The sequence below is a fragment of the Homo sapiens genome, chromosome 11, assembly GCF_000001405.40.
Source record: "Homo sapiens chromosome 11, GRCh38.p14 Primary Assembly".
Taxonomy (NCBI): Eukaryota; Metazoa; Chordata; class Mammalia; order Primates; family Hominidae; genus Homo; species Homo sapiens.
Genome location: NC_000011.10, coordinates 47,354,678 through 47,380,010, shown reverse-complemented (window position 1 = coordinate 47,380,010; position 25,333 = coordinate 47,354,678). Strand labels below are relative to the sequence as shown.

The 25,333-nt window shown below is 52.4% G+C and overlaps 1 protein-coding gene across 2 annotated transcripts, besides 6 other annotated features; it reads left to right on the top strand.

Moving 5' to 3' along the window:
- Window positions 866-1,817: an enhancer, noted in NCBI's record as "H3K4me1 hESC enhancer chr11:47399745-47400696 (GRCh37/hg19 assembly coordinates)". NCBI's record gives its function as "activates a minimal SCP1, AML or CMV promoter by ChIP-STARR-seq in primed H9 embryonic stem cells {active_cell/tissue: H9 hESC(primed)}" and the evidence as "EXISTENCE:reporter gene assay evidence [ECO:0000049][PMID:30033119]".
- Window positions 1,301-1,370: an enhancer, noted in NCBI's record as "active region_4698". NCBI's record gives its function as "activates an Ori minimal core promoter by ATAC-STARR-seq in GM12878 lymphoblastoid cells {active_cell/tissue: GM12878}" and the evidence as "EXISTENCE:reporter gene assay evidence [ECO:0000049][PMID:35858748]".
- SPI1 (Spi-1 proto-oncogene) lies at window positions 1,464-25,151 on the top strand. Of its 2 annotated transcripts, none has more exons than NM_003120.3 (5): window positions 1,464-1,702; window positions 4,282-4,378; window positions 19,971-20,158; window positions 21,005-21,167; window positions 24,465-25,151. In NM_003120.3, exons 1-5 carry the CDS (start codon window positions 1,658-1,660, stop codon window positions 24,782-24,784), a joined length of 813 nt encoding a protein of 270 aa, NP_003111.2. In that variant the 5' UTR covers window positions 1,464-1,657; the 3' UTR covers window positions 24,785-25,151. The 2 variants fall into 2 exon arrangements, with proteins under 2 accessions (NP_003111.2, NP_001074016.1); NM_001080547.2 differs by having other exon boundaries at window positions 4,279-4,378.
- Window positions 1,991-2,040: an enhancer, noted in NCBI's record as "active region_4697". NCBI's record gives its function as "activates an Ori minimal core promoter by ATAC-STARR-seq in GM12878 lymphoblastoid cells {active_cell/tissue: GM12878}" and the evidence as "EXISTENCE:reporter gene assay evidence [ECO:0000049][PMID:35858748]".
- Window positions 2,711-2,910: an enhancer, noted in NCBI's record as "active region_4696". NCBI's record gives its function as "activates an Ori minimal core promoter by ATAC-STARR-seq in GM12878 lymphoblastoid cells {active_cell/tissue: GM12878}" and the evidence as "EXISTENCE:reporter gene assay evidence [ECO:0000049][PMID:35858748]".
- Window positions 5,344-5,845: an enhancer, noted in NCBI's record as "H3K4me1 hESC enhancer chr11:47395717-47396218 (GRCh37/hg19 assembly coordinates)". NCBI's record gives its function as "activates a minimal SCP1, AML or CMV promoter by ChIP-STARR-seq in primed H9 embryonic stem cells {active_cell/tissue: H9 hESC(primed)}" and the evidence as "EXISTENCE:reporter gene assay evidence [ECO:0000049][PMID:30033119]".
- Window positions 14,060-14,235: a silencer, noted in NCBI's record as "fragment chr11:47387327-47387502 (GRCh37/hg19 assembly coordinates)". NCBI's record gives its function as "represses an EF-1alpha promoter that drives an FKBP-Casp9 reporter gene in an ReSE screen in HepG2 liver carcinoma cells {active_cell/tissue: HepG2}" and the evidence as "EXISTENCE:reporter gene assay evidence [ECO:0000049][PMID:32094911]".

Sequence of the window (25,333 nt, the reverse complement as noted above, 5' to 3'; positions counted from 1 at the left end):
TGTATGTTTATCACAGCACTATTCATAATAGCAAAGATACAGAATCAACATAAGTGTCCATCAACGGGTGAGTGAATAAATAACATGTTATATTGTATTTATATATATATATAATGAAATACTATTCAGCCATAAAAAAGAATGAAATTATGTCTTTGCAGCAACATGGATGGAATTGGAGGACATTATCATATGCGAAACAACGCAGAAACAGAAAGTCAAATACTGCCTGTTCTCATGGGGCTCCTGGAAACCGAAGCTGATAGGTGAATGGATGGATAGGTGGATGAATAGATGGGTGGAATGGTAGGTGGGTGGATTGGTAGATGGGTGGATGAGTGGACTGGTGGATGGATGGATGAATGAATGAAGGGGTAGGTGGATGATGGATGGGTTGATGGACAGATGAGTGGATGGGTAGATGGGTGGATGAGTGGATGGGTGGATGGATGGACAGGTGGATGAATGGATGAGCAGATTCATAGATGGATAAACAGATGGAATTGTGGACTGATGGACTGATAGCAGGTGGACGGGCTGATTAATGGACATATAGATGGTTAGATAGACAAGTAGATAAACAGATGGGTGGGTGGATGAATTGACTGACAGATGAATGAACAAACAAACGGACAGTTGGATAAATGGACACATAAGTGAATGCATGGTGGGCTTGATGAATGGATAGCTGGATGGACAAATAGACAGACAAATAGATGCATGGGAAAACAGATGAATGGTGGATAGGCAAGAAAGGTTTGTAAACCAGGAGGGTTAGATTGATATTCAGGCATTGCCAAGGGATGGGGAAACTGAGAAACCTGGGCTGGAAACAGAGCCCTAGGGATTTGAATGTGGTAATCAAGAAGCTGGGAGGGGAGGGTATAAGAACCCAGGACCCTCTTCTGGTGGTAGGGAAGCCCATGTGAACAGATTCAGAGGGAAGGAAGAAAGCAGCACTATGCTGAAGACCCTACACCTGAGCCCAGCCTCAGCCTAGGGATAGCCTAGGCAGTGGGGGTGCAGGGCCACAGGAAGAGCCAGGCCTGATAGCCTGCTAGATCAGAGCCCTCACCCAGGAAGGCTGACTCCAGAAAGTGGAGGCCCCAAGAGGCCACCCCTTCCAGCTCTGACCCCAATGAGGTGACTGTTGGCTACATAGGGATCTCAAAAGAAGCAGGCATTTGTTGGGTTAGAGCAAAAGCCTCCCAGTGGTGTGGCAGAGCTACACGTTCTCCCTCCCATCCTCCCTCCCCAGCTTAGCCCCCAAAGTCATCCCTCTCAGTCCCAGCTTCCTCTGGGCAGGGGGCCTGGACCCCATGGCTTCCCAGGCCAGCCCTTTGAGCACCACCTGCCCCAGCCGGCCAGAGACTTCCTGTATGTAGCGCAAGAGATTTATGCAAACGGGTTGGGGCGGTGATGTCACCCCAAGGGGACTATCTCCCAGCGGCAGGCCCTTCGATAAAATCAGGAACTTGTGCTGGCCCTGCAATGTCAAGGGAGGGGGCTCACCCAGGGCTCCTGTAGCTCAGGGGGCAGGCCTGAGCCCTGCACCCGCCCCACGACCGTCCAGCCCCTGACGGGGCACCCCATCCTGAGGGGCTCTGCATTGGCCCCCACCGAGGCAGGGGATCTGACCGACTCGGAGCCCGGCTGGATGTTACAGGCGTGCAAAATGGAAGGGTTTCCCCTCGTCCCCCCTGTGAGTACCGGGACTCCTCCACCAGCCCAACCCGTGGCCCTCGGACGCCTGCCTGCCTGCCCACGAACCCGCCAGCCCACCCACTGCCCTCCTGGCTTGCTATCAGTGGGAAGTCAGGGTTTCCTCCCTGGAACTCCTGGCCTGAGACCCAGCGAGGGGGCCATTGGCTTCCTCGGAGCATGCCCTGGCGGGCTGAGGCCAGGCCCACGGTGGGGCTGTGATCGGTGGGGCCTGAACAGTTATTTATAGACAGGGCTCGGGTGGCAGGCGGAGGCCGGGGCTCCTGGGGAGGGTGCTGGGCTGAGGATGGTGAAGGCGGTGGTAGAGAGGTAGAGGAGGGAGATGGGGGGACTGGCTTGGGGGAGGCCGGTCCCCTGGATGGGAAGGGGTTGAAGGCAGGAGGCAATGGGCAGAAGTCTTGGCCCATGGCCTTGGGGCTCCTGGAAACCAAAGCTGATGGAACTCTGGGTCCCCAACGCCCAGTCTGGGGCCTGGCACAGAGGACATGATTGTTGACCAAAGGGTCAGGGCCATGGGCCCACAGGGGTACCCACAGGAGACAGGGACTGGTGCTGGAAAGGAGCCAGGAGTGGAGCTGAGACAGTGCAGTTAGGGCTGGCCCCAGGGCTGGAGTTCAGGGAGAGGCGCGGCAGGGGACAGGGCTGGGACAAGGCCAGGACTGAGATTGGGGCTGGGTGGGACCTGGGGTGAGCATGTGATAAGTGAGAATGGGGGCTGAGGCTGGGACAAGGACAGGGACTGGGTCTTGGGGGTGAAGAAGTGGGAGCCCCAGGGGACCCCGAGAAGAGAAGGGCAGATCGCCACTGCTCCTCACTCTCAGTGACAGTTGCAGCCTTAGGCAGGTGTCAGACCAGGGTCCCTCGGAAAGGACCCTTCTCCCTTTTCCCACCCCATGACCTCTCAGGAGTGAGGAGGCTTGAGGGGAGCCGGGAAGGGCTTGGCAGGCTGCCCACCTGAATCCACTTTCCTGGTCTAGAGGCAGCTCCCTTCCCCCACTATGCCCTGGCTCAGAGCCACCCCAGGAGGCTGGGAGGCACCCCAGGCCTGACATCACACCAACCCGACCAGAGCCGGGCTGACATCCTGCAGCGAGGCTGTACTACCTGGAAACCCAGAGGGGCAGGCTCAGTGCTGGGCTCCTGGCCTCCTCACTTGGCCAGCCACAGGCAGGACCAGGCAGGACCAGCCAGCCTGCTGTGGCATCCACACCGACACCCCTTCCCACCTGGGAACACGAAGTGGGCGGCCCAGGCAGAGGGTGACGGAGGTTGTCTCAGAAAGAGCCAATTCTGCCTCAAGAAAGCCACAGGCCCACTGTCTCTGATCCCTGACCTCTCAATTCTGAACTCCAGGTGGAGCTAGATGGGTGGCAGAGCTCCTTGGGCCATCCCTAGGCACCCCCAGCCCTCTCTGCAAGCTCCAGGGTCACTCTGAGTGTCTCCTGGTAGGGTGGGCTCCCAAGGCAGCCCCGGTCCCCCAAGCCCAGCCCTAAGGGCCACAGTGACTGTTATGCAATCCTGGGCCACACGCTGCGGGGGCGGGGAGGCCTGATGACTGTTGGGAAGGCTCCTGGGTGTGCACGGCCCTGTGTCTGTGCCAGTAGGGGGAGGAGGACAGGGAGGAGGGAGGAAGGTGGGAGGAAAGAAGGAGGACAGGGAAGAGGGGGAAGAAAAGGAGGACAGAGGGGAGTGAGGAGGGGGAGGAGGAAGCAAAGGAGACGGGGAGGGGGATGCAGTGAGGAGGGAAGGAGGAGGATAGGGAGGACTCAGGAGGGAGAGTGAGGGGATCAAGGCCCTCCATGCGCTCGGCCCCTAAGTCTGCCTGGGTGACCCCTGCACCAACCGTCAGTGTGGAGGGTCATTGTGGTGCCACTCTTGCCCAGGCTGTGTGAGAGGCATAGGCTGTGAGAGTGGGGCTGGGCAGGCAAGTGTGTGCTGTGCGGTTGAGTGTGCAGGTGGAATGTGAGTGGCTCTGGGGGTGTGAGTGTGTGTGTTGATGGCTGGAACGTGGTGTCATGTGAGTGTCAATCAAGGAGACTCTGCGTGTGTGCATGAGCTGAGTGTACAATGTCTCTGTGAGGTGGGTGACCTCTGAGTGGGTATGAAGATGTGTGTGTGAGGGATAGTGTGCAGGCGCCTGCATGGGGGTGGGTAGGGGCTGTGAGAGTGAGTCCTCGTGTGGGATTATGAGTGTGAGGGTGACACAGGGATCGTGTGGACATGTGCATCAGTGTGACCAGGAGAGGTGTGTGGGATGAGGATGGGGGCACACAGGCGTGAGTGTGAGTGTGAGCGTGAGGTGGCTATGGGGAGTAGCCCAGCAGAGGGGGACCCTGGTCCTCTTCTGACCTCTCACCCCCAAGGTCCCTGTCACCCCTTTTCAGGCCTTCTGGGTCCCCTGCCCCACTCTCTGTCCCAGTTCCAGGCAGAGGGAGGGCTGTAGGTCCAACGCAGCCACTGAGCCAGGGAAGGTGATGGGGACCCAGCGTGCGGGGGTGCTGCAGGCCTGGCTGGGGTCTCCCACCATGGTGCAGGCCCTGACACCTCCTCTCTCAGCAGCCATCAGAAGACCTGGTGCCCTATGACACGGATCTATACCAACGCCAAACGCACGAGTATTACCCCTATCTCAGCAGTGATGGGGAGAGCCATAGCGGTGAGTACGGGGCCTGCCACGCCCCCATCCCCCAGCCCAGCCTGGGCTCCTGGGGTCTGGAGAGAGAAAAAGAATAAATGATTCCCAGGACTTCTTTGGAATTCTGAGAATCAGATCAAGTTTGCTCTCAAAGGCAGTGAACTGCAGCATCATCGCTGCACCCCCACACCTGAGCCTCCATTATGGAGCCTCTGCAGTGTGTCAAGGTGCGGGGTTCATTTCTTCCATGGTTATCTGCTGGTTCTGTCCTTGTGGTCTTCTTTATAAACAAGGAAACAGGCTTAGGGTGCTAGGAGACTTGCACAAGGTCACACGGCTGCTGGGTGGAACCCAGGTCTGTCCGCTCCAGGTCCTGTGCTTTTTTTTCTGCCCCTGCCTAACTACCCACCTCCTCCTCTCTGTTCTCGTCACTCTCTGTCCCAAACTCCCCGCCGGCACATCCGCACTTCCTGCCATGTGTGGTTGGCAGGGTTTCCTAACTGTGGCACTGCTGACATTTTGGGTGGGATGATTCCTGGGTGGGCTGTCCCGGGTACCGTAGGAAGCTTAGTGGCATCCTTGCTTCTACCTACCACATGCCAGGGCCATGGCCAATCATGACAACCAAAAATGTCTCCACCCATTGGCAGATCCCCCCGGGAGGCAAAATCACCCCTAATTGGGAACTGCTGGGCCGAAGGAAAACCTATGAGAACCTCTTGTTCAGCAGAGGCCGAGGCCCCCAGTTTGCTGAAGTGGGAGGAAGAGGCCTGGGCCAGGGTGTCCTTCTGTCTGTCCAGTCCTTCTGGGTCTGACTGTCTGCCCCATAGCCCAGCCTCCGTCCTGGAGCAAATTCAGGGGATGGGAGAGAGGCATTAGGTGCCTGGGACCTGAGCAGGGGGCTGCGGGAGGTTGCCCAAAGTGGATCTTGGCTTATTGATGTAGACATCCCTGACCCAAAGCGAGGTGGCCTAGTCAGTGGGTGAGTCGTCACTGGGGAATTCCTCAGGGCGTCTGGGACCCGGGCAGACCAGCGACTGGGGTGTCTGCACCTCAGAGGGCAGAGGCCCACAGCCTAGGAAGGTGTCACTCCTGAAGGCCACCCCTGCGGCCAGTCATGCCTGTAGCTCCATTCTGCAGATGCACCTGTGGCGGTCTAAACCTGATGGGCCCAGCTAGGGATCCACATGTGCCTGGTCCACATTTAGGGCCCCAGATTCATCCGGAACTCAGACTGGAAGCCATATCCCAGGGGTAGGCGGATATGCCTCCAGGCCACAGCTGGGAACGCACAGGCATCTTTTAGAATCTTTCAGGGCTAGAAAGCCTTTAAAATATCCTTTTTAATTCCTTCAAGCTTATTTGTAATTATGTAAAAAACACATCCTCTTGGTGGGAAACCCAGGCAATGTAGAGAGAAAGTCCCCCTCCCCCAACTCCATCCCCAGCTCTCCCTACCAGAGTGAAGAGCCCGGTCTGGGGGACCCAGAGACCACGCACCCACCTTCCCAAGCGGTTCCAGGACTCCAGGAGGTCCCGCTGGGCCCTGGGACAGGCGCCCCCTGGTGGCTCGGGTCACCACAGACAGTGCTGTCAGGCCTCCTCCAACAAGGACGCATTCTCCCTGGCCCAATCCCTCTTCAGTTCACTGGGCTTGGGTGCGTTTCCTTTGGGCCTTTTGCAGCCTCAGTTTTCCTTCCTGTAATATGAGGGCGCTGCCCACATAGCTGGAAACCAGTGAGCCTGGGGCTGGGCCTGATGGAGTGAGCACTTTAGAGAAAGCATGTGTTTTCGTGGCTCAGGGTCCAAGCAGGTTCCTTATATCTCAGGTGGGACTCTAGGAATGACTCCTGATTGGATGCCTGGGCACCCCATGTTGGTCATGAACCCCTAGTTCCTCCAGAGACTCCACCAGTGTTCCCAGGTGTCCTCGGCCTTGGCTCTGTCCCACTCTTAATCACTGCCAATCAGGGCATTTGGGCTGTCCTTTTCTTTTTTTTTTTTTTTTAGGACAGTCTTGCTCTGTTGCCCAGGCTAGAGCGCAGTGGCCCAATCTTGGCTCACTGCAACCTCCGCCTCCTGGGTCCAAGCGATTCTCTTGCCTCAACATCCCAAGTAGCTAGGATTACAATCGTGCACTACCATGCCTGGCTAATTTTTGTATTTTTAGTAGAGATGAGGTTTTACCATGTTGGCCAGGCTGCTCTCAAACTCCTGACCTCAAGTGATCCACTTGCCTCGGCCTCCCAAAGTGCTGGGATTACAGGTGTGAACCACCGCGCCCAGTCTGTCCCTTTTTTTTGATACGGAGTCTCGTACTGTCGCCCGGGCTGGTGTGCAGTGGCACAATCTTGGCTCACTGCAACCTCCGCCTCCCGGATTCAAGCGATTCTCCTGCCTCAGCCTCCCAAGTAGCTAGGATTACAGGCGCCTGCCACCACGCTCAGCTAATTTTTTGTATTTTTAGTAGAGACAGGGTTTCACTATGTTGGCCAGGCTGGTCTCGAACTCCTGACCTGGTGATCCGCCTGCCTCAGCCTCCCAAAGTGCTGGGATTACAGGCGTGAGCCACTGCGCCCGGCCGGGCTGTCCCTTTTTATACCCGCTGGAAGGTATCGTCTGAAGACTCAACCATAGAGACCCCCACACACTTCTGTCAATTCCTGCACGTCCTCTTTGTCCACATTTTTAGGTACTGAAGCTTAGTGAAAAAGCTTTGGCCCAGCCCTGGCTCCATCACTTACCAGCTGTGAAAACTTGGGGCAAGTAACATAACCTTTCTGAGTCCCTATTTCCCCATTTATAAAACTGACAGCATGAAAATACTTACCTCCTAGGGCTGTGATGATTCAGCGAGGTAAGGCATATAATCTCTGAGGTAAGGTAACGTGCAGAGGACGAGGCCCGTGCTAGCTTCACTGCATTCCTCAAGGCAGGAGGGACAAAGCGGCTGGGGAGTGGGAAAAGCACAGAGGGCTCTGTGAGAGACCAACTGGGTTATTTTCCACTGACCCAGGGGACAGTCAATCTGCCACCCACCCCCACATCCATGCACTCACCCTCCCATCCACCCACCTACTCGTCCATCCTGCCAGCCGCTTCCCATCTGATCCACTTTTCCTCCCTATTCCATCCATTAAATAGTTTCTGAGTATCAGACACTCTTGTAGGCTCTGGGGAGTCCATGATGAGCACCAGACAAGGCCACTGCTCTCACAGAGCTCACTCTCCAGCGAGGGGATGGGGACATAAGGAATTAAATAGGCTGGGGCGTGGTGGCTCATGCCTGTAATTTCAGCATTTTGGGTGGCTGAGGTGGGTGGATCACGAGGTCAAGAGATAGAGGCTATCCTGGCCAACATGGTGAAACCCCATCTCTACTAGAAATACAGGTGGTGGTGCCCACTTGTACTCCTAGCTACTTGGGAGGCTGAGGCAGGAGAATCGCTTGAACTCCGGAGGCGGAGGTTGCAGTGAGCTGAGATCGCGCCACTGAACTCCAACCTGGTGACAGACAAAGCGAGACTCCAGCAAAAAAAAAAAAAAAAGAATCAGACAAAGAGACCATTTTCTGCAGATGTAATGCGGAGTGTCTACATGGGGGGCTGCTTTCATTTGAGTGGTCAGGGAAGGCCTTTGAGGTGGCAGCTGAGCTAAGAGAAGGAACTCGTAATTCACATGTGACCATAGGTAGGGGAGAGGTATTCAAGGTAAAGGGAACAGAAAATGCAAAAGCAGAAAGGACCCTGACAGAGGACCAGAGAGGCCAGTGAGCACAGGGCAGGGGACAGAAAGGGAAGCCAAAGGGGTCAGCTGCTCACGCAGGGCGAAGGCCATGGCAGGCATTTGGATTTTATCATACACACCATGGGAAGCCACTGGGGAGTTCTGAGCAGGGAAATGACATGACCATGATCTGAATAACCTTCTGTGTATGTGTGTGTGCTGAAAATTTAAATACATTTACAATCTTTTTTTTTTTTTTTAAGACGGAGTTTCACTCTTGTTGCCCAGGCTGGAGTGCAGTGGTGTGATCTTGGCTCACTGCAACCTCTGGCTCCCAGGTTCAAGCGATTCTCCTACCTCAGCCTCCTAAGTAGCTGGGATTACAGGTGTGCACCACCATGCCCAGCTAATGTTGTATTTTTTAGTAGAGATGGGGTTTCACCATGTTGGCCAGGCTGGTCTCAAACTCCTGACCTCAGGTGATCCTCCTACCTTGGCTTCCCAAAGTGCTGGGATTATAGGCATGAGCCATCACGCCTTGCCTTTTTTTTTTTTTTTTTTTTTTTTTGAGATGGACTCTCGCTCTGTCGCCCAGGCTGGATTGCAGTGGTGTGATGTCAGCTCACTGCAACCTCCACCTCCCGGGTTCAAGCGATTCTCCTGCCTCAGCCTCCCGAGTAGCTGGAACTACAAGCGAGTGCCACCATGCCCAGCTAGTTTTTTGTATTTTTAGTAGAGGCAGGGTTTCACCGTGTTAGCCAGGATGGTCTTGATCTCCTGACGTTGTGATCCACCCGCCTTGGCCTCCCAAAGTGCTGGGATTACAGGCGTGAGCCACCGTGCCCGGCCTCCAGTCTTTCTATTCCAGTGCTATGTAAATGTACAAATGAAGATGTGGAATAGAGACTTAGAGCATTATTTATTGGCAAATATTTATTGAGTGCCTTTGATGTGTCAGGCAGCTTGATTTTTCAGTTAGAGATATATTTTATTTACTTGTACAATCAGAATTCAACTTTAGTCATTCACAACACACACACACACACACTCACATTTCTCCACACATCCCCAATTCATTACTCTATATGGTAACATTTGTTAAATCAGTATTTGAATTTTCCACTGTTATGACCATGTGGCTATTACTCACAGCTGAGCCACATGGCATCCTTTCTTTACCTGTACTTTCTCATATCCATATTTCTTTTAATTATTATTATTTTTTTATGAGACAGTCTCACTCTGTCGCCTAGGCTGGAGCACAGTGGCGCAATCTCTGCTCACTGCAGCCTCAGCCTCCTGGGTTCAAGCAATTCTCCTGCCTCAGCCTCCTGAGTAGCTGGGATTACAGGTGCCCGCCACCACGCCCAGCTAATTTTTGTATTTTTAGTAGAGATGGGGTTTCGCCATGTTGGCCAGGCTAGTCTTGAACTCCTGACCTAGTGATCTGCCCGCCTCGGACTCCCAAAGTGCTGGAATTACAGGCGTGAGCCACCATGCCTGGCCTTTTTTTTTTTCTTTTTTTTGAGACGGTGTCTCTCTGTGTTGCCCAGGCTGCAGTGCAGTGTGCAATCTCAGCTCACTGCAGCCTCCACTTCCCGGGTTCCAGCAATTCTCCTGCTTCAGCCTCCTGGGTAGCTGGGATTACAGGTGTGTGCCACCATGCCCAGTTAATTTTTATATTTTTAGTAGAGGTGGGGTTTCACCATGTTGGCCAGGCTGGTCTCAAACTCCTGACCTCAGGCGATCCACTGGCCTCAGCCTCCCAAAGTGCTGGGATTACAGGCGTGAGCCACTGTCCCCGGGCCTCATCCCCATATTTCTGAGGGGAAATGTAGCAAGGAGATAAGAACTCTTCTGAAACCAGGCTGCTGAAACTCATCCCCCATCTCCTCCATTGCTATCCGGGTGACCATGGGCAAGATCTCCAACCTCTCTGTGCCTCAACTTCTTCATGACAATACCAACTTCACAGGATGGCTGTAAGGACTGAACGAGCTACTGTATGTCAAATGCTTAGAACAGTGCCTGGAAATAGCAAATGTTTTGTACAGATTTGTTATCATGGTCGTCTCCTAAGAAAGGGTGTGTGGGAGGTGAGGTTTTTGTTGTGGTGGTGATGGTTTTATTTTGTGTTTTGCCTCATGTCTTTTATTCTATGCTGTCACTTAATTAATCATAGTTTGGCTGTGTATGGAAATCTAAGTTGAAAATCATTTTTTCCCTTAGAAATTGGAAAGCATTTTTCTACTGTCTTCTGGTTACTAGAGTTTTTCCTATGAAGTCTGATACCACTCCATGTTCCTTTAAATTTCTTTTATAATTAACCTAGCTTTTTGTTTGTTTCATTTGTTGTTTTTTTTTTTTCTCTCTCTCTCTTTTGTTTTCTTTCTCTGGAAGTTTTTAGTATCTTTTCCCAATGTCTCATGATTCAACTGAGTAAGCTTTTTAAAAGGTCACTCTGGGTGGAGAGCAGATGGAAAAGAGGCAAGAATAGGAGCTGGAAAAAAGAACATTGAGGAAACTATTGCAATAATCCAGGAAAGAGATGGTGGTGACCTGGACAAGGGTGGTGGCAACAGAGACAGAAAGGGGGGGACAGATTCAAGATAGACTTTGAAGGGCTTACAGGATTTGCTATTGTTTATTATGCTTTTTGTTTGTTTGTTTGCTTTTTTGAGACAGTCTCACTCTGTCACCCAGGCTGGAGTGCAGTGGCGTGATCTCGGCTCACTGCAACCTCTGCCTCCTGGGATCAAGTGATTCTCCTGCCTCAGCCTCCCGAGTAGCTGGGATTACAGGCATGCGCCACCACACCTGGCTAATTTCTTTGTGTGTATTTTTAGTAGAGACAGGGTTTCACCATGTTGGCCAGGCTGGTCTTGAAGTCCTGACCTCAGGTGATCCACCCGGCTCAGCCTCCCAAATAGCTGGGATTACAGGAATAAGCCACCATGCCCAGCCTATTACTCTTTTTAATTGTGGTAAAATACACATAATATTAACCATTTTTTAAACCATCTTAACCATTTCTTTACATTTTAAGTGTATAGTTCTGTGATATTAAATATATTCACGTTATCATCACCATCCATCTCTATAATTATTTTCATCTTGCAAAACGGAGACTCTGTATTCACTGAACAACAGCTCATTTTCCCTCCCCCCAGCCTCTGGCAGCTACCATTCCACTTTCTGTCTCTATGAATTTGCCTATTCTAGGTACCCCGCATGAGTGGATTCACACAGTATTTGTTCTTTTATGCCTTCATTTAGCATAATGTTCTCAAGGCTTACCCATTTACCCATGGTGTAGCACGTGTCAGCATTTCCTTCATCTTTAAGGTTGAATCATATTCCATTGTATGCGCGCGCCACGTTTTGCGCATGTGCCACGTTTTGCGTATCCAGCCGTCCGACACTTAGGGTGTTTCTGCCGTTTGGCTATTGTGAAGAACGCTGCTATGAAGAAGGGTGTGGAAAGACCCTGTTTTCAATTTTTTTGGATATATACCCAGAAGTAGGATTGCTAGATCATATGCTAATTCTATTTTTATTTTTTTGAGACGGAGTCTCACCCTGTCACCCAGGCTGGAGTGGAGTGGTACGATCTCAGCTGACTGCAACCTCCGCCTCCCAGGTTCAAGTGATTCTTCTGTCTCAGAATCCCGAGTAGCTGGGATTACAGGTGTCCACCACTATGCCCGGGTAATTTTTGTATTTTTAGTAGAGACAGATTTTGCCATGTTGGCCAGGCTGGTCTCGAACTCCTGACCTCAGGCGATCTGCCCGTCTTGGCCTCGCAAAGTGCTGGGAATACAGGTGTGAGCCACTGCGCCCGGCCTATTTTTAGTTTTATTAAAAATTAAACCATCGGCCGGGCACAGTGGCTCATGCCTGTAATCCCATCTCTTTGGGAGGCTGAGGCAGGCGGATCACAAGGTCAAGAGATTGAGACCTGGCTAACATGGTGAAACCCCATCTCTACTAAAAATACAAAAAATGAGCCAGGCGTGGTGGTGGGTGCCTGTAGTCCCAGCTACTCAGGAGGCTGACGCAGGAGAATGGTGTGAACCTGGGAGGTGGAGCTTGCAGTGAGCTGAGATTGCCCCACTGCACTCCAGCCTGGGCGAGAGCAAGACTCCGTCTCAAAAAAAAAAAAAAAAAAAAAAAAAAAAATTTAACCATCATCTATTTCCCATAGTGGCTGCATCATTTTACATTTCCAACAACAGTATACTAATATCCTAATTTTTCTGCACCTTCACTAACACTTGTTATTTTCTTTTTTTCTTTCTTTTTTTTTTAACTAGAAGCTATCCTAATGAGTGTGCTGGGATTTGCTATTTACGATAGGATTTTTTTTTTTTTTTTGAGGCAGAGTCTCACTCTGTCGCCCAGACTGGAGTGCAGTGGTGTGACCTTGGCTCACTGCAACCTCCACCTCCCAGGCTCAAGTGATTTTCCTGCCTTAGCCTCCCAAGTAGCTGGGATTACAGGTGCATGCCACCACGCCCGGCTACTTTTTGTATTTCTAGTAGAGACGGGGTTTCACCATGTTGACCAGGCTGGTCTCAAACTCCTGACCTAAAATGATCCACCCACCTCGGCCTCCCAAAGTGCTGGGATTACAAGCATAAGCCACCATGCTTGGCCTACAATAGGATTGATGAAGAAAAGAGTTCCAAAATGTGAATTCTATCCATCCATCCATCCATCCATCTATCCATCCAATTTCCATATACTTCTTCATCCTTTCATAGCACTAACCATCTACACATTCATTAATTTATTCACACACCCATCTAATCATCCACTTAGCCACCTTTCCAACTATCCTTCCCTCTACCTACCAAGCCCTCCATCTTGCACTGGCCTATCCATCTAATAAATATATACTAAGTATCTTTTATATGCCAGGCACATTGCTAGATGCTGTGGAATGAATAAAACACAGGTTCTACAAGATCCATCTTTGTAACAAGGAAAAGAATTAAAACTCTAATAATTAGAATCCAAGGTAGAGAGTAACAAGTGCCCCGAAACCTTCAGTTCTCTGTTCTCTGAGCCTGTTTCTTTTCTTTTCTTTTCTTTTCTTTTCTTTTTGAGACAGCGTTCCACTCTTATCGTCCAGGCTGTAGTGCAATGGTGCGATCTCTGCTCACTGCAACCTCCATCTCCTGGGTTCAAGTAATTCTCCTGACTCAGCCTCCTGAGTAGGTGGGATTACAGATGCCTGCCACCACGCCCAGCTAATTTTTTTTCTATTTTTAGTAGAGACAGGGTTTCAACATGTCGGCCAGGCTGATCTTGAACTCCTGATGTCAGTTGATCCACCTGCCTCGACCTCTGAGCCTGTTTCTACGTCTGAATAATTTTCAGGAGAGGCTGGGCTTCGGGAGCCCTAGTCTAGTGGTCTGTGATCTTCTGAGAAGGTTTTTTTCTTGGCCCCTCCTTTCCTGATTCCTCATCTTTCTTCTCTGTTTTGATCACACTTTTGCTCCCCTGGGAAGAGCCCAGGGCTTCAGGCTGGAGGTTCTGTTCTGAGGAGATAAGGTCAGCTGAATGACACTTAAGGCTTGACATTTTTTGTGGGGTTGTTTTGAATATGATTTTATTTTTATACTGGTGACGTACAGGTGTTAGTGACACCAAAAAAGTGAGTAAGACTAGGGATGTGTGGGTAGGACTTTGGCCCCAGATTAAGAACTGGTTTAGAGAGAGGAAATGAGAGATGAAGATGAATGGGTCATTTCTGGCTGGCTGGATGATAGTTGGATGGATAATGGTTCCATGATGAATGGATGGATGAAGGATAGATGGGTGGATGATGGGGGGATGAAGGATGGATGTAGGGTGGATGAAGAATGACAGGTGATGGGTAATGATGGTGGTCAGGTGGATAAAAGTACTCATTAAAATCTCTCAGTGTTGGCTGGGTGCAGTGGCTCATGCCTGTAATCCCAGCACTTTGGAAGGCCAAGGCGGGTGGGTCACAAGGTCAGGAGTTTGAGACCGGCCTGGCCAACATGGTGAAACCCCATTTATACTAAAAATACAAAAATTAGTTGGGCGGAGTGGCAGGCGCCTGTAGTCCCAGCTACTTGGGAGGCTGAGGCAGAAGAATCACTTGAACCCAGGAGGCGGAGGTTGCAGTGAGCCGAGATCGTGCCACTGCATTCCAGTCTGGGCGAAAGCATGAGACTCCATCTCAAAAAAATAAAATAAAAAATCTCTCAGCGTCACCACAGGTCTTACTGAAAGTTTTCATTAATCATCTTGTTTCTCAGAGGTGCTATGGTATAGTGGTAAGATTTCAGTCCTTGGGGTCAGATACAGGTGGGTTTGGGTCCTGATTCTATCAATATCTGCTGCAAAGGACTTAACTTCTCTGAGCCATAGATTCCTCCTATGCAAAAGATAGATTATACTGTAGTGGCCACCTCCTGAGTGCTAGGGTTAGGATTAAATGAGATAATGTGGATTGAACACTTAGCACAGTGTCTGGTATATAAAAAATATGCTAAAAGCTAACTTTTGTTGATCATTTAATCAAATAGCGATTGAGATCTACTGCCTGTTGGGTGCCTACCGGTCTGTAGAAATGAGGGTCCAGAGCCATGTCCAGATGTTATGCAAATGACATTATATTCTTTCGAGGAGCTGAGAGTCATGCTAAGGGGGCATATGGGTGACCCCTGAATGGATGGTCTGGGTGGCCCAGTGAAGGGACATAAAGAAATAAAGCAATTTGTTCTCGAAGAGTCATCCGGAAATGGGGTCCAAAGAGTCCAGGAGTGCTGACCTCTGCACTAGGAAGGATTCCTTGTATTGTGTTCTCACAGAGGGCTCTGTATTTGGAATATTTCTGCCTACCAGACAGTATTTATTACATAATTGCCTGAGCACCAAATCACAGGTAAAGGCGAGGTATCCATTGGGCCTTCTGAAACCTTAATTGTAGCTCGGGAGTCTCAGTTGCAGCCTTCAGGAGACCCCAGGTGGAATTCCAGAGTTTTTGTGAGCACAAAACCTCCTTGGGTGGCTTTAGATGCAGAGTCCCAGCTCCCCTTAGTGCTTCTGCTTCAGTGGGTCTCCAGCAGGATCCCACATTTACAGGCTTTTCCAGCCTCTCCAAGTGATGGATGATGGTGGACTGAGACCAGCTTTGGGAAATGCTGGCCTCAGGCTGGGACCACCACAGTGAGGTCATGGGTCTAATGTGGAGCTAGAACAGAGGTGGGGGTGCGGAGGAAAACAGAGCAATTGGGTGCCTCTTACCCCACACCTAAGGGGTGCATGCACTCAGGGTCCCTCCAGCCCTGGAATGGGAGTGGGTTCAAGGATGGGGGTTTGATGGCAGGATCCATTCGGCATTATACCAGGGCACTCCAACTTGGGCAGGAGAAGGCAAAAATGGGCAGAGCCAGAAGTGGGGCTGAAGCAGGGATCAATAACTGGAGAGGAATCATTTCACCAAATCCCAGAGCCCCAGGACAGCCTCCTCACTAAAGAGCAGAGCAAACTCTCCTACAGCGAGGAGAGTTTCGGGATCCTGTTAGCTCACTGCAAGATGAAAATGCAAATTAAGGCCAGACGCCTGTAATCCCAGCACTTTGGGAGGCCGAGGCGGGTGGATCACGAGGTCAGGAGATCGCGACCATCCTGGCTAACACAGTGAAAACCCGTCTCTACTAAAAAATAGAAAAAATTAGCCGGGCGTGGTGGCAGGCACCTGTAGTCCCAGCTACTCGGGAGGCTGAGGCAGGAGAATGGCGTGAACCCAGGAGGCGGAGCTGCAGTGAGCCAAGATCGTGCCACTGCACTCCAGCCTGGGCGACAGAGCCAGACTCCATCTCAAAAAAAAAAGAAAATGCAAATTAAGTTTTGTTTTGTTTTCGCTTCAGGTTTAGATAATTTTGCAGAGGAGAGTCTCAGAGGCTTTTTTTTTTTTTTTTTTTTTTGGAGACCGAGTCTGGCTCTATTGCCCAGGCGGGAATGCAGTGGCATGATCTCGGCTCACCACAACCTCCACCTCCCTAGGTTCAAGGGATTCTCCTGCCTCAGCCTCCTGAGTAGCTGGGATTACAGGCACCTGCCATCAGGCCCAGCTAATTTTTATATTTTTGTAGAGACGGGGTTTCACTATGTTGGCCAGGCTGGTCTCAAACTCCTGACCTTAGGTGATCTGCCCACCTTGGCTTCCCAAAGTGCTTGGATTACAGGCATAAGCCACCATGCCCGGCCTGAGAGGCTTCTTAAGAGGCTAGGATTCAGCTGGGCTCGGTGGCTCATGCCTGTAATCCAAGCATTTGGGGAGGCTGAGGTGGGAGGATCACTTGAGCCCAGGAGTTGGAGGCAACATAGTGAGATTCCATCTCAATTTAAAAAGAGATTTTTTTTTTTTGAGATGGAGTCTCACTCTGTCACCCAGGCTGGAGTGCAGTGGTGTGATCTTGGCTCACTGCAACCTCCGCCTCCCAGGTTCAAGCGATTCTCCTGCCTCAGCCTCCCATGTAGCTGGGATTACAGGCGCCTGCCATCACACCCAGCTAATTTTTGTATTTTCAGTAGAGACGGGGTTTCATCATGTTGGCCAGGTTGATCTCGGACTCCTGACCTCAGGTGATTCGCTCGCCTTGGCCTCCCAAAGTGCTGGGATTACAGGCGTGAGCCACTGCACCTGGCCTAGAAAGACATTTTTATTTTTAAAAAGAGGCAATCATTGATTCATTCATTCAGGAAATGTTTGTTGAGTGCCCACTCTACTTAGGCACTGGGAAGACGGAGGTGAACAAAACCAGTCCCTGCCCTCATGGTGCCATGCTTGGGCTTCAACTGCAGTGACAACATGGTCCCCTAAAGTTATTTCTCTGGGCCATTGACTAAGGTGGCCAGGAGCAGGGAGAACAAGAGGAAAGAAACATGTATTAAAAGCATTTGCTCTATGCTTGTTCAAGTGCTAATCCAGGCTTTTTTTTTTAGTTAAAAAAAATTTTTTGTAAGCCCCTCCCCCTGCACACTGAATACTTTTTTGTTAAGAGACAGGGTCTCAGCTGGGCGCAGTGGCTCAAGCCTGTAATCCCAGCACTTTGGGAGGCTGAGGTGGGCAGATCACGAGGTCAGGAGATCAAGACCAGCCTGGCCAATATAGTGAAACCCCATCTCTACTAAAAATACAAAAATTAGCTGGGCATGGTGGTACATGCCTGTATTACCAGCTACTTGGGAGGCTGAGGCAGGAGAATCACTTGAACCCGGGAGGTGGAGGTTGCAGTGAGCCGATATCGTGCCACTGCACTCCAGCTTGGGCAAGAGTGAGACTTCATCTCAGAGAAAAAAAAAAAAAAAAAAAAAGAGACAGGGTCTCACTCTGTCACCCAGGCTGGAGGCAGTGATGTAATCATAGCTCACTGCAGCCTCAAACTCCTGGGTTCAAACGATCTTTTCGTATCAGCCTCCCAAGTAGCTGGGACTAGAAGTGTGTGCCACCATGTCTGGCAAATTTTTAAACATTTTTTGTAGAGATAGGGTCTCACTATGTTGCCCAGGCCGGTCTCAAACTCCTGGGCTGAAGTGATCCTCCCTCTCCAGCCTCCTGGGTAGCTGGGATTATAGGTGTAACCACACTCAGTGGGAATCTAGGCTCTTTAGAATAAACTATTATTATTATTAATAATAATGATAATGATGAAGTTAATGTTTATCAAGGTCTGTCTTTGTGCCAAGTTCTAGTCTAAGCACTTTGCAAGCAATAGGTCATTTGCTTCTCAAAACAAGCCTGTGAGATGGGTGTAATTGTTAGCCCCATTTAACAGATGAGGACACAGGCTTGGAGAAATAGAATGACCTGCCCATTGTCACACAGTGGTAAATGGCAGAGCCAGAACTTGAGCCCAGCTCTGCCTTTCTCTCCTCTCTGCCATGTGGCTTCCTAAAGGTGGGAGTCTGGGTTGTCTGGACTGTGAGGCCAAATAATTATACATGTAGACAAGGCCTCAGTAACTACCCAGGTCTAAAAGCATTTCTGACTTTTAGAGTGGGGAATGAGAGGCTCCGGGAGAAAAAAATGTCTTGTCCATGGTCATACTGCAAAGCAGGTTTAGAAAGCGAGTACTCCGAGATCCAGTCCAGAACCAAAAATCATGATTATCTATTAGGGATGTGTGATTAGGTGTTTGTGTGAGAGAGAAAGAGAGATGCAGGCAGACATGTGTACACCTTTGTACACACGTACACACGCACGCATGGCTGGTGGTGGACTTGTCCCAGAGACACTGCCTGGACCTGGAGTCTCGTAGGCGCCCTCTTTGGCCCACATGAGACAGCCGATCTTGTCACTTTATTACCACGCTTCATTTTGGACCCCGAATTGCGCCCAGGAAGTCCCGCAGATGTGTGGCAGTTTTTGTTCCTGGAAAAGGTGTTCATGCTGAAGATCTTCCCCAGTTCCAAGACAGGGCTTTTGGTGGCATGGGGTTATTCCCCGGACTTCAGTCTCCTCCACCACAGACTCAAGGAACCCACAGGGGGTTTTCCAGGAAAGTCTCAGGTCCCAGGAACCTCACGGGAACACAGGTGCCACTGCTTAAGGTCATGGCTTTGAAGAGGAAGGGCCACCGTGTGCCTGGACAAGTTCTAGTGTGTGAGGAATGTCAGCCCTGTGACTCTGCTGTCACACCTTGGCCATGTGACAAGGCTGTGTGAGTGTGTGTGTGTGAGACAGAGAGAGAGACTGTGGGCAGCCAGGGAGCTCAGGAACCCGTGGGAGGTTTTTTTCTTTTCTTTTTTCTTTTTTTTTCTTTTTGAGACGGAGTCTCGCTCCGTCGCCCAGGCTGGAGTGCAGTGGCGCAATCTCGGCTCACTGCAGCCTCCGCCTCCTGGGTTCACACCATTCTCCTGCCTCAGCCTCCTGAGTAGCTGGGACTACAGGCACCCGCCACCACGCCCAGCTAATTTTTTTGTATTTTACTAGAGACGGGGTTTCACTGTGTTAGCCAGGATGGTCTTGATCTCCTGACCTCGTTATCCACCCACCTCGGCCTCCCAAAGTGCTGGGATTACAGGCGTGAGCCACTGCGCCCGGCCGAGTTTTTTTTTTTTTGAGGCAGAGTCTCACTCTGTCGCCAGGCTGGAGTGCAGTGGCGCAATCTCGGCTCACTGCTACCTCCACCTCTCGGGTTCAAGCGATTCTCCTGCCTCAGCCTCCTGAGTAGCTGGGATTACGGCACCTACCACCACGCCCAGCTAATATTTTGTATTTTAGTAGAGATGGGATTTCACCACGTTGGCCAGGATGGTCTCAATCTCCTGACCTCATGATCCGCCCGCCTCCGCCTCCCAAAATGCTGGGTTTACAGGCGTGAGCCACCGCGCGCGGCCCTGGCTGGGAGGTTTTAACAGGATAGGAGGGGAATCAACTTTCCCTGAGGGCCGGCTCTGGTGCGAGGTGTTTTACAAATGTGTACTCATTCGTATCTTCCCAATAACTGTGATCCCCATTTTACAGGCAACTCAACTGAGGTTAGAGAGGCCACATATGTGCCTGAGGTCACACAGCAAGTAAATGGCAGAGCCAGGATTAGACGCTCGGTCTGTGTGACTGCACAGGAATCAGGATGGAATTGCTGAGAACACGAGCTTTGCTTCAGCCCTGAGTCCTGGCTGTGACCCGGATGCTTTTGACCTTGGGCATGCTATGTAGCCGCTCGAAGCCTCAGTGTCCTCATCTATAAAATGCAGGCCTAGAGTAACCATGCAGGTGGCGAGGGTTAAACGAGATGGTTAGGCCCCATATGGCCTGGCAGTATTATTTAATGTTACTATAACCTTTTCCTGCCCTGCCCAACCCTGAGCTCACCCCATACTGCCTGGCTGTCCCCCACAGACCATTACTGGGACTTCCACCCCCACCACGTGCACAGCGAGTTCGAGAGCTTCGCCGAGAACAACTTCACGGAGCTCCAGAGCGTGCAGCCCCCGCAGCTGCAGCAGCTCTACCGCCACATGGAGCTGGAGCAGATGCACGTCCTCGATACCCCCATGGTGCCACCCCATCCCAGTCTTGGCCACCAGGTGCATGCCACCGCCTGCCCCGTCCCCCAGGAGACTGCCAGGCCTGTGGTGGGGCCCGGGAGCTTCACAGGAAGCTGACACAGGCTCTTACCCAACTCAGCTTCCTGCCCCACAGTGCCAACGGCGGCTGGAGCTCCAACGGCTGCCGCCTGACCCCCCAAGTGACCTCATGACCCCACACCCCTTATCTCATCTCACCCCGAGTATGGACAGACCCCAGATAATTCTCGCACCCTCACCAAGCCTCCCCATCCCAACGCCTTGTTGTGGGCCCTCCTGGGCCTCACTGTCTGCCACCCCCATTCACTAGCCCTCATGGATCCCACACCAAGTCACTGAACACCTCTACTGACCCTGCCTCTCCCCAGTGACCCTCCCTACTGACCCTAACCCGGATCAGTGACCTCTGCTGACCTCTACCACCCCTACTGACCTCCAGGGTCCCTCCACTCACTCATCATCCCACCTATGAAACCCCCTTCCAGACCCAACGCACCGGTCCCTAGCATGCCCTCTTCTGACCCCAGCCTAATGCGGGTCCACACAGCACCGCTGCAGGGAGGAGAACAAGGCACCACTTCCCCGGTGCCCACAGTCCTAAACCAGGAGGCCCAGCTGGGAGGGCTGGGTGGGCTGGATGTCAGCACCCCTCGCCCCACAGCCTGCACCCTATGTGCAGCACCTCAACTGGCCCCCCTTTTCCCTGGTCTTCTTCCTCCAGTCTCCTGTGCCTGCCATTGTCCCCTGCCCTCTGCACTCCTTCTCTCCCCAGCTGACCTCCCTCCCAGCCCCCCTGAGCTGTAAGCTGGCCCTTCCTGACTCTGATCTCCTTCCCCCACCGTCCAGGTCTCCTACCTGCCCCGGATGTGCCTCCAGTACCCATCCCTGTCCCCAGCCCAGCCCAGCTCAGATGAGGAGGAGGGCGAGCGGCAGAGCCCCCCACTGGAGGTGTCTGACGGCGAGGCGGATGGCCTGGAGCCCGGGCCTGGGCTCCTGCCTGGGGAGACAGGTGGGGCACCTGGCCCTCCACCCTGGCCCCGACCCTGGCCGTGTCTGTGCCCTGCCCCCACCCAGCCAGGCCAACTGACCCAGCAGCCACGCCACCGAGTCGCGTGTGTGTGTGTGTGCATGTTTGCCAGTGTGTGTGTTTTGTGGGGCTGTCTGTGGCTGTCTCTGTGTGTGTGTATCTGCTGTGTAGTGCATACGGGCATCTCCATGAAGTGTGCCAGGTGTGTGTGTCTCTCTGTGCCATGAGTGTGTGTACATCTGGGTGTGTGTGAGCAAGTGTGCAGAGGGTGCGTGTGCACAGGTACGGGCAGGTGCATGTGTGCGAGTGGCTGTGTGAGTGGGTGTGTGAGAAGGTGAATGTGAGAGCTGGTGTGGCTGAGAGTGGGTGTGGCCATGTTTGTGTGTCTGTCAACACATGAATGTATTTCAGTGCGTGTGAGCAGCTGTGCACGTATGATGTCAGTGGGTGTCAGCAGTGTGTGGGTGTGCCTGTGTGAGCAGGGATGTGAGCATGGTATATGTGAGTGGCTGTAAGCAGGCATGTGTGAGTGATATGTGTGAGTGGGGGTGTGACAGCAGGTGTGTGAGCAAGTGTATATGTGTGAATGTGTATGTAAGCAGGGATGTGTGTGATATAAGTGTGTGTGAATGGGCATAGGTGTGTGTCAGTGGATGTGTGAGTGGGTGTGAACATGTTTGAGGGTGTATGTAAGCAGGTGTGTGTGAGCAGGAAGGTGTGAGCTGGGGTGTGTGAGCATGTATGTGTATATGTGAGCAGGTCTGTGCATGTATGTGAGTGGATATGTGTTTTAACATGTGTAAGCATGTGTGTGTTCCCATGTGTGAGCAGGTGTGTGTGGGGGGTGAGGACGTGCTTAAGCACCTGCGTGTGTGAGCAGGTGTGCATGTGTGTGAACAGGTATGTGTATGTGTGAAAGCAGGTGTGTGAATGAGTGTGTGAGCATGAATGGGTGTGAGTGGGCCGGGCGTGGTGGCTCACGCCTGTATCCCAGCACTTTGGGAGGCTGAGGCAGGCGGATCACCTGAGGTCAGGTGTTCGAGACCAGCCTGGCCAACATGGCGAAACCCCGTCTCCACTAAAAATACAAAAATTAGTCAGGCGTGGTGGTGAACGCCTGTAATCCCAGCTACTTGGAAGGCTGAGACAGGAGAATTGCTTGAACCCGGGAGGTGGAGGTTGCAGTGAGCCGAGATCGTGCCATTGCACTCCAGCCTGGGCAACAAGAGCAACTCCATCTCAAAAACAAGAGAATGGGTGTGATGTGTGAGTGTGAGAGCAGGTGTGTGTGAGCATGCATGAGTGTGAGCTGCTGTGAGTGGATGTGAGAGCAGAATGTGTGTGAGCATTTGAGTGTGCAAGTAGGTGTCTGAGTGGTTGTGTGTGAACAGGCGTGTAAGCATGCAAGTGGATATGCATGAGCAGAATGTATGTGCATGCGTGAGCAGGTGTGAGGTGCAAGTGTAAGTGGTGTGAAATATGAGTGAGCAGGTGTCAATGAGGTGTGAAAGAGCTGGTGTGAGCGTGTGAGTGATAAGTGAGCAGCTGTGAGGTGTGAGCATGTATGTGAGCAGGTATGTGTGATGTGTGAGCATATGTGTGAGCATGTGTGTGTGCAGATATGTGTGGGCAGGTGTGTGTGAGTGGGTGTGAGATGTGAGCATGTGTGTGAGGTATGAGGTGTGAGCATGTGTGAGGTGTGAGCATGTGAGTGGGTGTGAATGTGTGAGGTGTTAGCATGTGTGAAGTGTTAGCATGTGTGTGAGCATGAGTTTGTAAGCATAAGTGTGTGTGAGACTTGGTGTGAGGTGTGTGAGGAAGTGTGTGTATGGATAGGTGAGCATGTGTGTGAGCAGACGTGAGCATGTGTGAGTGGGTGTGTGCGTGAGTGAATGGTGTGAGGTGTGTGAGCACAAGTGTGTGAGCAGGGGCGTGTGTGTGTAGCTGAGTAATGTGAGATGTGTGTGAGCAGGTGTGTGCGTGTGGGGCTGAGTAACGTGAGATGTGTGTAAGCAGGTGTGTGCGTGCAAGTGTGTGTGAGGTGTGGGTAGGTGCGATCATATGTGAGTGGATATGTGTGAGTGAATGGTGTGGTGTAAGCATGTGTGTGTGAGCAGGGGCATGTGTGTGCAAGGGTGAGCAATGTAAGGTGTGAGGGTGAGCAGTGTAAGATGTGTAAGCAGGTGTGTTTGTGCAAGCATGTGTAAGCAAGTATAAGCAGGTGTGATTATGAGACCTGGTGTGAGGTGTATGAGCAGGTGTGTGAACATGAGTGTGTGAACCTGGTGTGAGGTGTGTGTGAGCAGGTGTGAGTGGGCATATGAGTGTGAGAAGGTGCATTGGGTGTGACCGTGTGTGGGGGCAGTAAGTGGGTCTGAGTGTGTGTGCATGTGTGTGAGTGGGTGCATTGGGTGGGTGTGAGTGTGCATGTGAGTGGGTGTGAATGAGGTGTGAGCATGAGTGGGTGTGACCAGGTGTGTGTGAGTGGGTTGTGAATGTGTAAGCAGATGCAGTGTGGGTTTGAACATGTGGGTGGGTGCAAGCATGTGAGTGGGTGTGTCGTGTGGGTGCCAGTGTGTGGGGGCATGTTAGTGAATGAGTGTGTGAGCATGTGTGTGAGTGTGAGCTGGTGCATTGTGTGGGTGTGTGAGAAAGTGACAGTGTGTGAGGGCAGATGTGGGTGTGAATGTGCAAGTGGGTGGGTGTGGGTGCAATCTGGCGTTTGGGTGCATTGCACAAGCATGTGTGTGAGCATGTGGGTGTGAGTCTGTGAGCACGTGCATTGTGTGTGCATGTGTGTGACAGCATGTGTGTGATCAGATACATTGTACGTGTGAGCGTGTGTGGGTGTGAGCATGAGTGAGTGGTTGCATTGTGTTTAAGCATGAGTGTGAGTGGGTGTGAGAAGGTGCGTTGTGTGAGCACGTGTGTGAGTGGGTGTGGGCGTGATGTGTGAGCATGTGTAAGGAGGTGTGGGTGCGTTATGTGGATGTGAGCATGTGTGTGTACTTGGTGCACTGTGTGGGTGCGAGTGTGTGCGCGTGGGGGGGGTGAGTGCGTGGGTGTGAGTGGGTGTGTGTGAACGCCTGTGTGTGCGCAAGCATGTGTGTGTGTGTGAGTGTGGGTGCGTTGTGTATGCACGCCCGGCGCGGGCTGGGGCAGCCGTTCCCCTGCCCTTCCCGGCCACCCCGTCCCCGGGCCCCTGTGCGTACGCAAGGCGGTGGGGGCGGCTCCCATGTGGGCCCCGGGCCCCCTCCCACCGGGCCCTCCCCCCCGCAGGCAGCAAGAAGAAGATCCGCCTGTACCAGTTCCTGTTGGACCTGCTCCGCAGCGGCGACATGAAGGACAGCATCTGGTGGGTGGACAAGGACAAGGGCACCTTCCAGTTCTCGTCCAAGCACAAGGAGGCGCTGGCGCACCGCTGGGGCATCCAGAAGGGCAACCGCAAGAAGATGACCTACCAGAAGATGGCGCGCGCGCTGCGCAACTACGGCAAGACGGGCGAGGTCAAGAAGGTGAAGAAGAAGCTCACCTACCAGTTCAGCGGCGAAGTGCTGGGCCGCGGGGGCCTGGCCGAGCGGCGCCACCCGCCCCACTGAGCCCGCAGCCCCCGCCGGGCCCCGCCAGGCCTCCCCGCTGGCCATAGCATTAAGCCCTCGCCCGGCCCGGACACAGGGAGGACGCTCCCGGGGCCCAGAGGCAGGACTGTGGCGGGCCGGGCCTCGCCTCACCCGCCCCCTCCCCCCACTCCAGGCCCCCTCCACATCCCGCTTCGCCTCCCTCCAGGACTCCACCCCGGCTCCCGGACGCCAGCTGGGCGTCAGACCCCACCGGGGCAACCTTGCAGAGGACGACCCGGGGTACTGCCTTGGGAGTCTCAAGTCCGTATGTAAATCAGATCTCCCCTCTCACCCCTCCCACCCATTAACCTCCTCCCAAAAAACAAGTAAAGTTATTCTCAATCCATCCTCTTGCAGCACAGAGTCTCTTTTAAAATTTGTTGTGTATCTCTTTTGGCCCCTGTGTGCTGCGACGTCTCTTTTTGTCATTTGTCCATCGGGTGTTTACCGAGGACTGTACCCAATGCTGGACCCTGGGAACATGAGGACCAATGACACAGAGCGCCTGAACAGGAGTTAGAGTTTGGT

Bases quoted from the DNA above. Each gene is read 5' to 3' on its own strand.
- SPI1 (NM_001080547.2), top strand. From the start codon at position 1,658: ATGTTACAGGCGTGCAAAATGGAAGGGTTTCCCCTCGTCCCCCCT. The intron at 1,703-4,278 runs GTGAGTACCGGG...CTCCTCTCTCAG, and splicing joins GGTTTCCCCTCGTCCCCCCT to CAGCCATCAGAAGACCTGGT. The intron at 20,159-21,004 runs GTGCATGCCACC...CCCACCGTCCAG, and splicing joins ATCCCAGTCTTGGCCACCAG to GTCTCCTACCTGCCCCGGAT.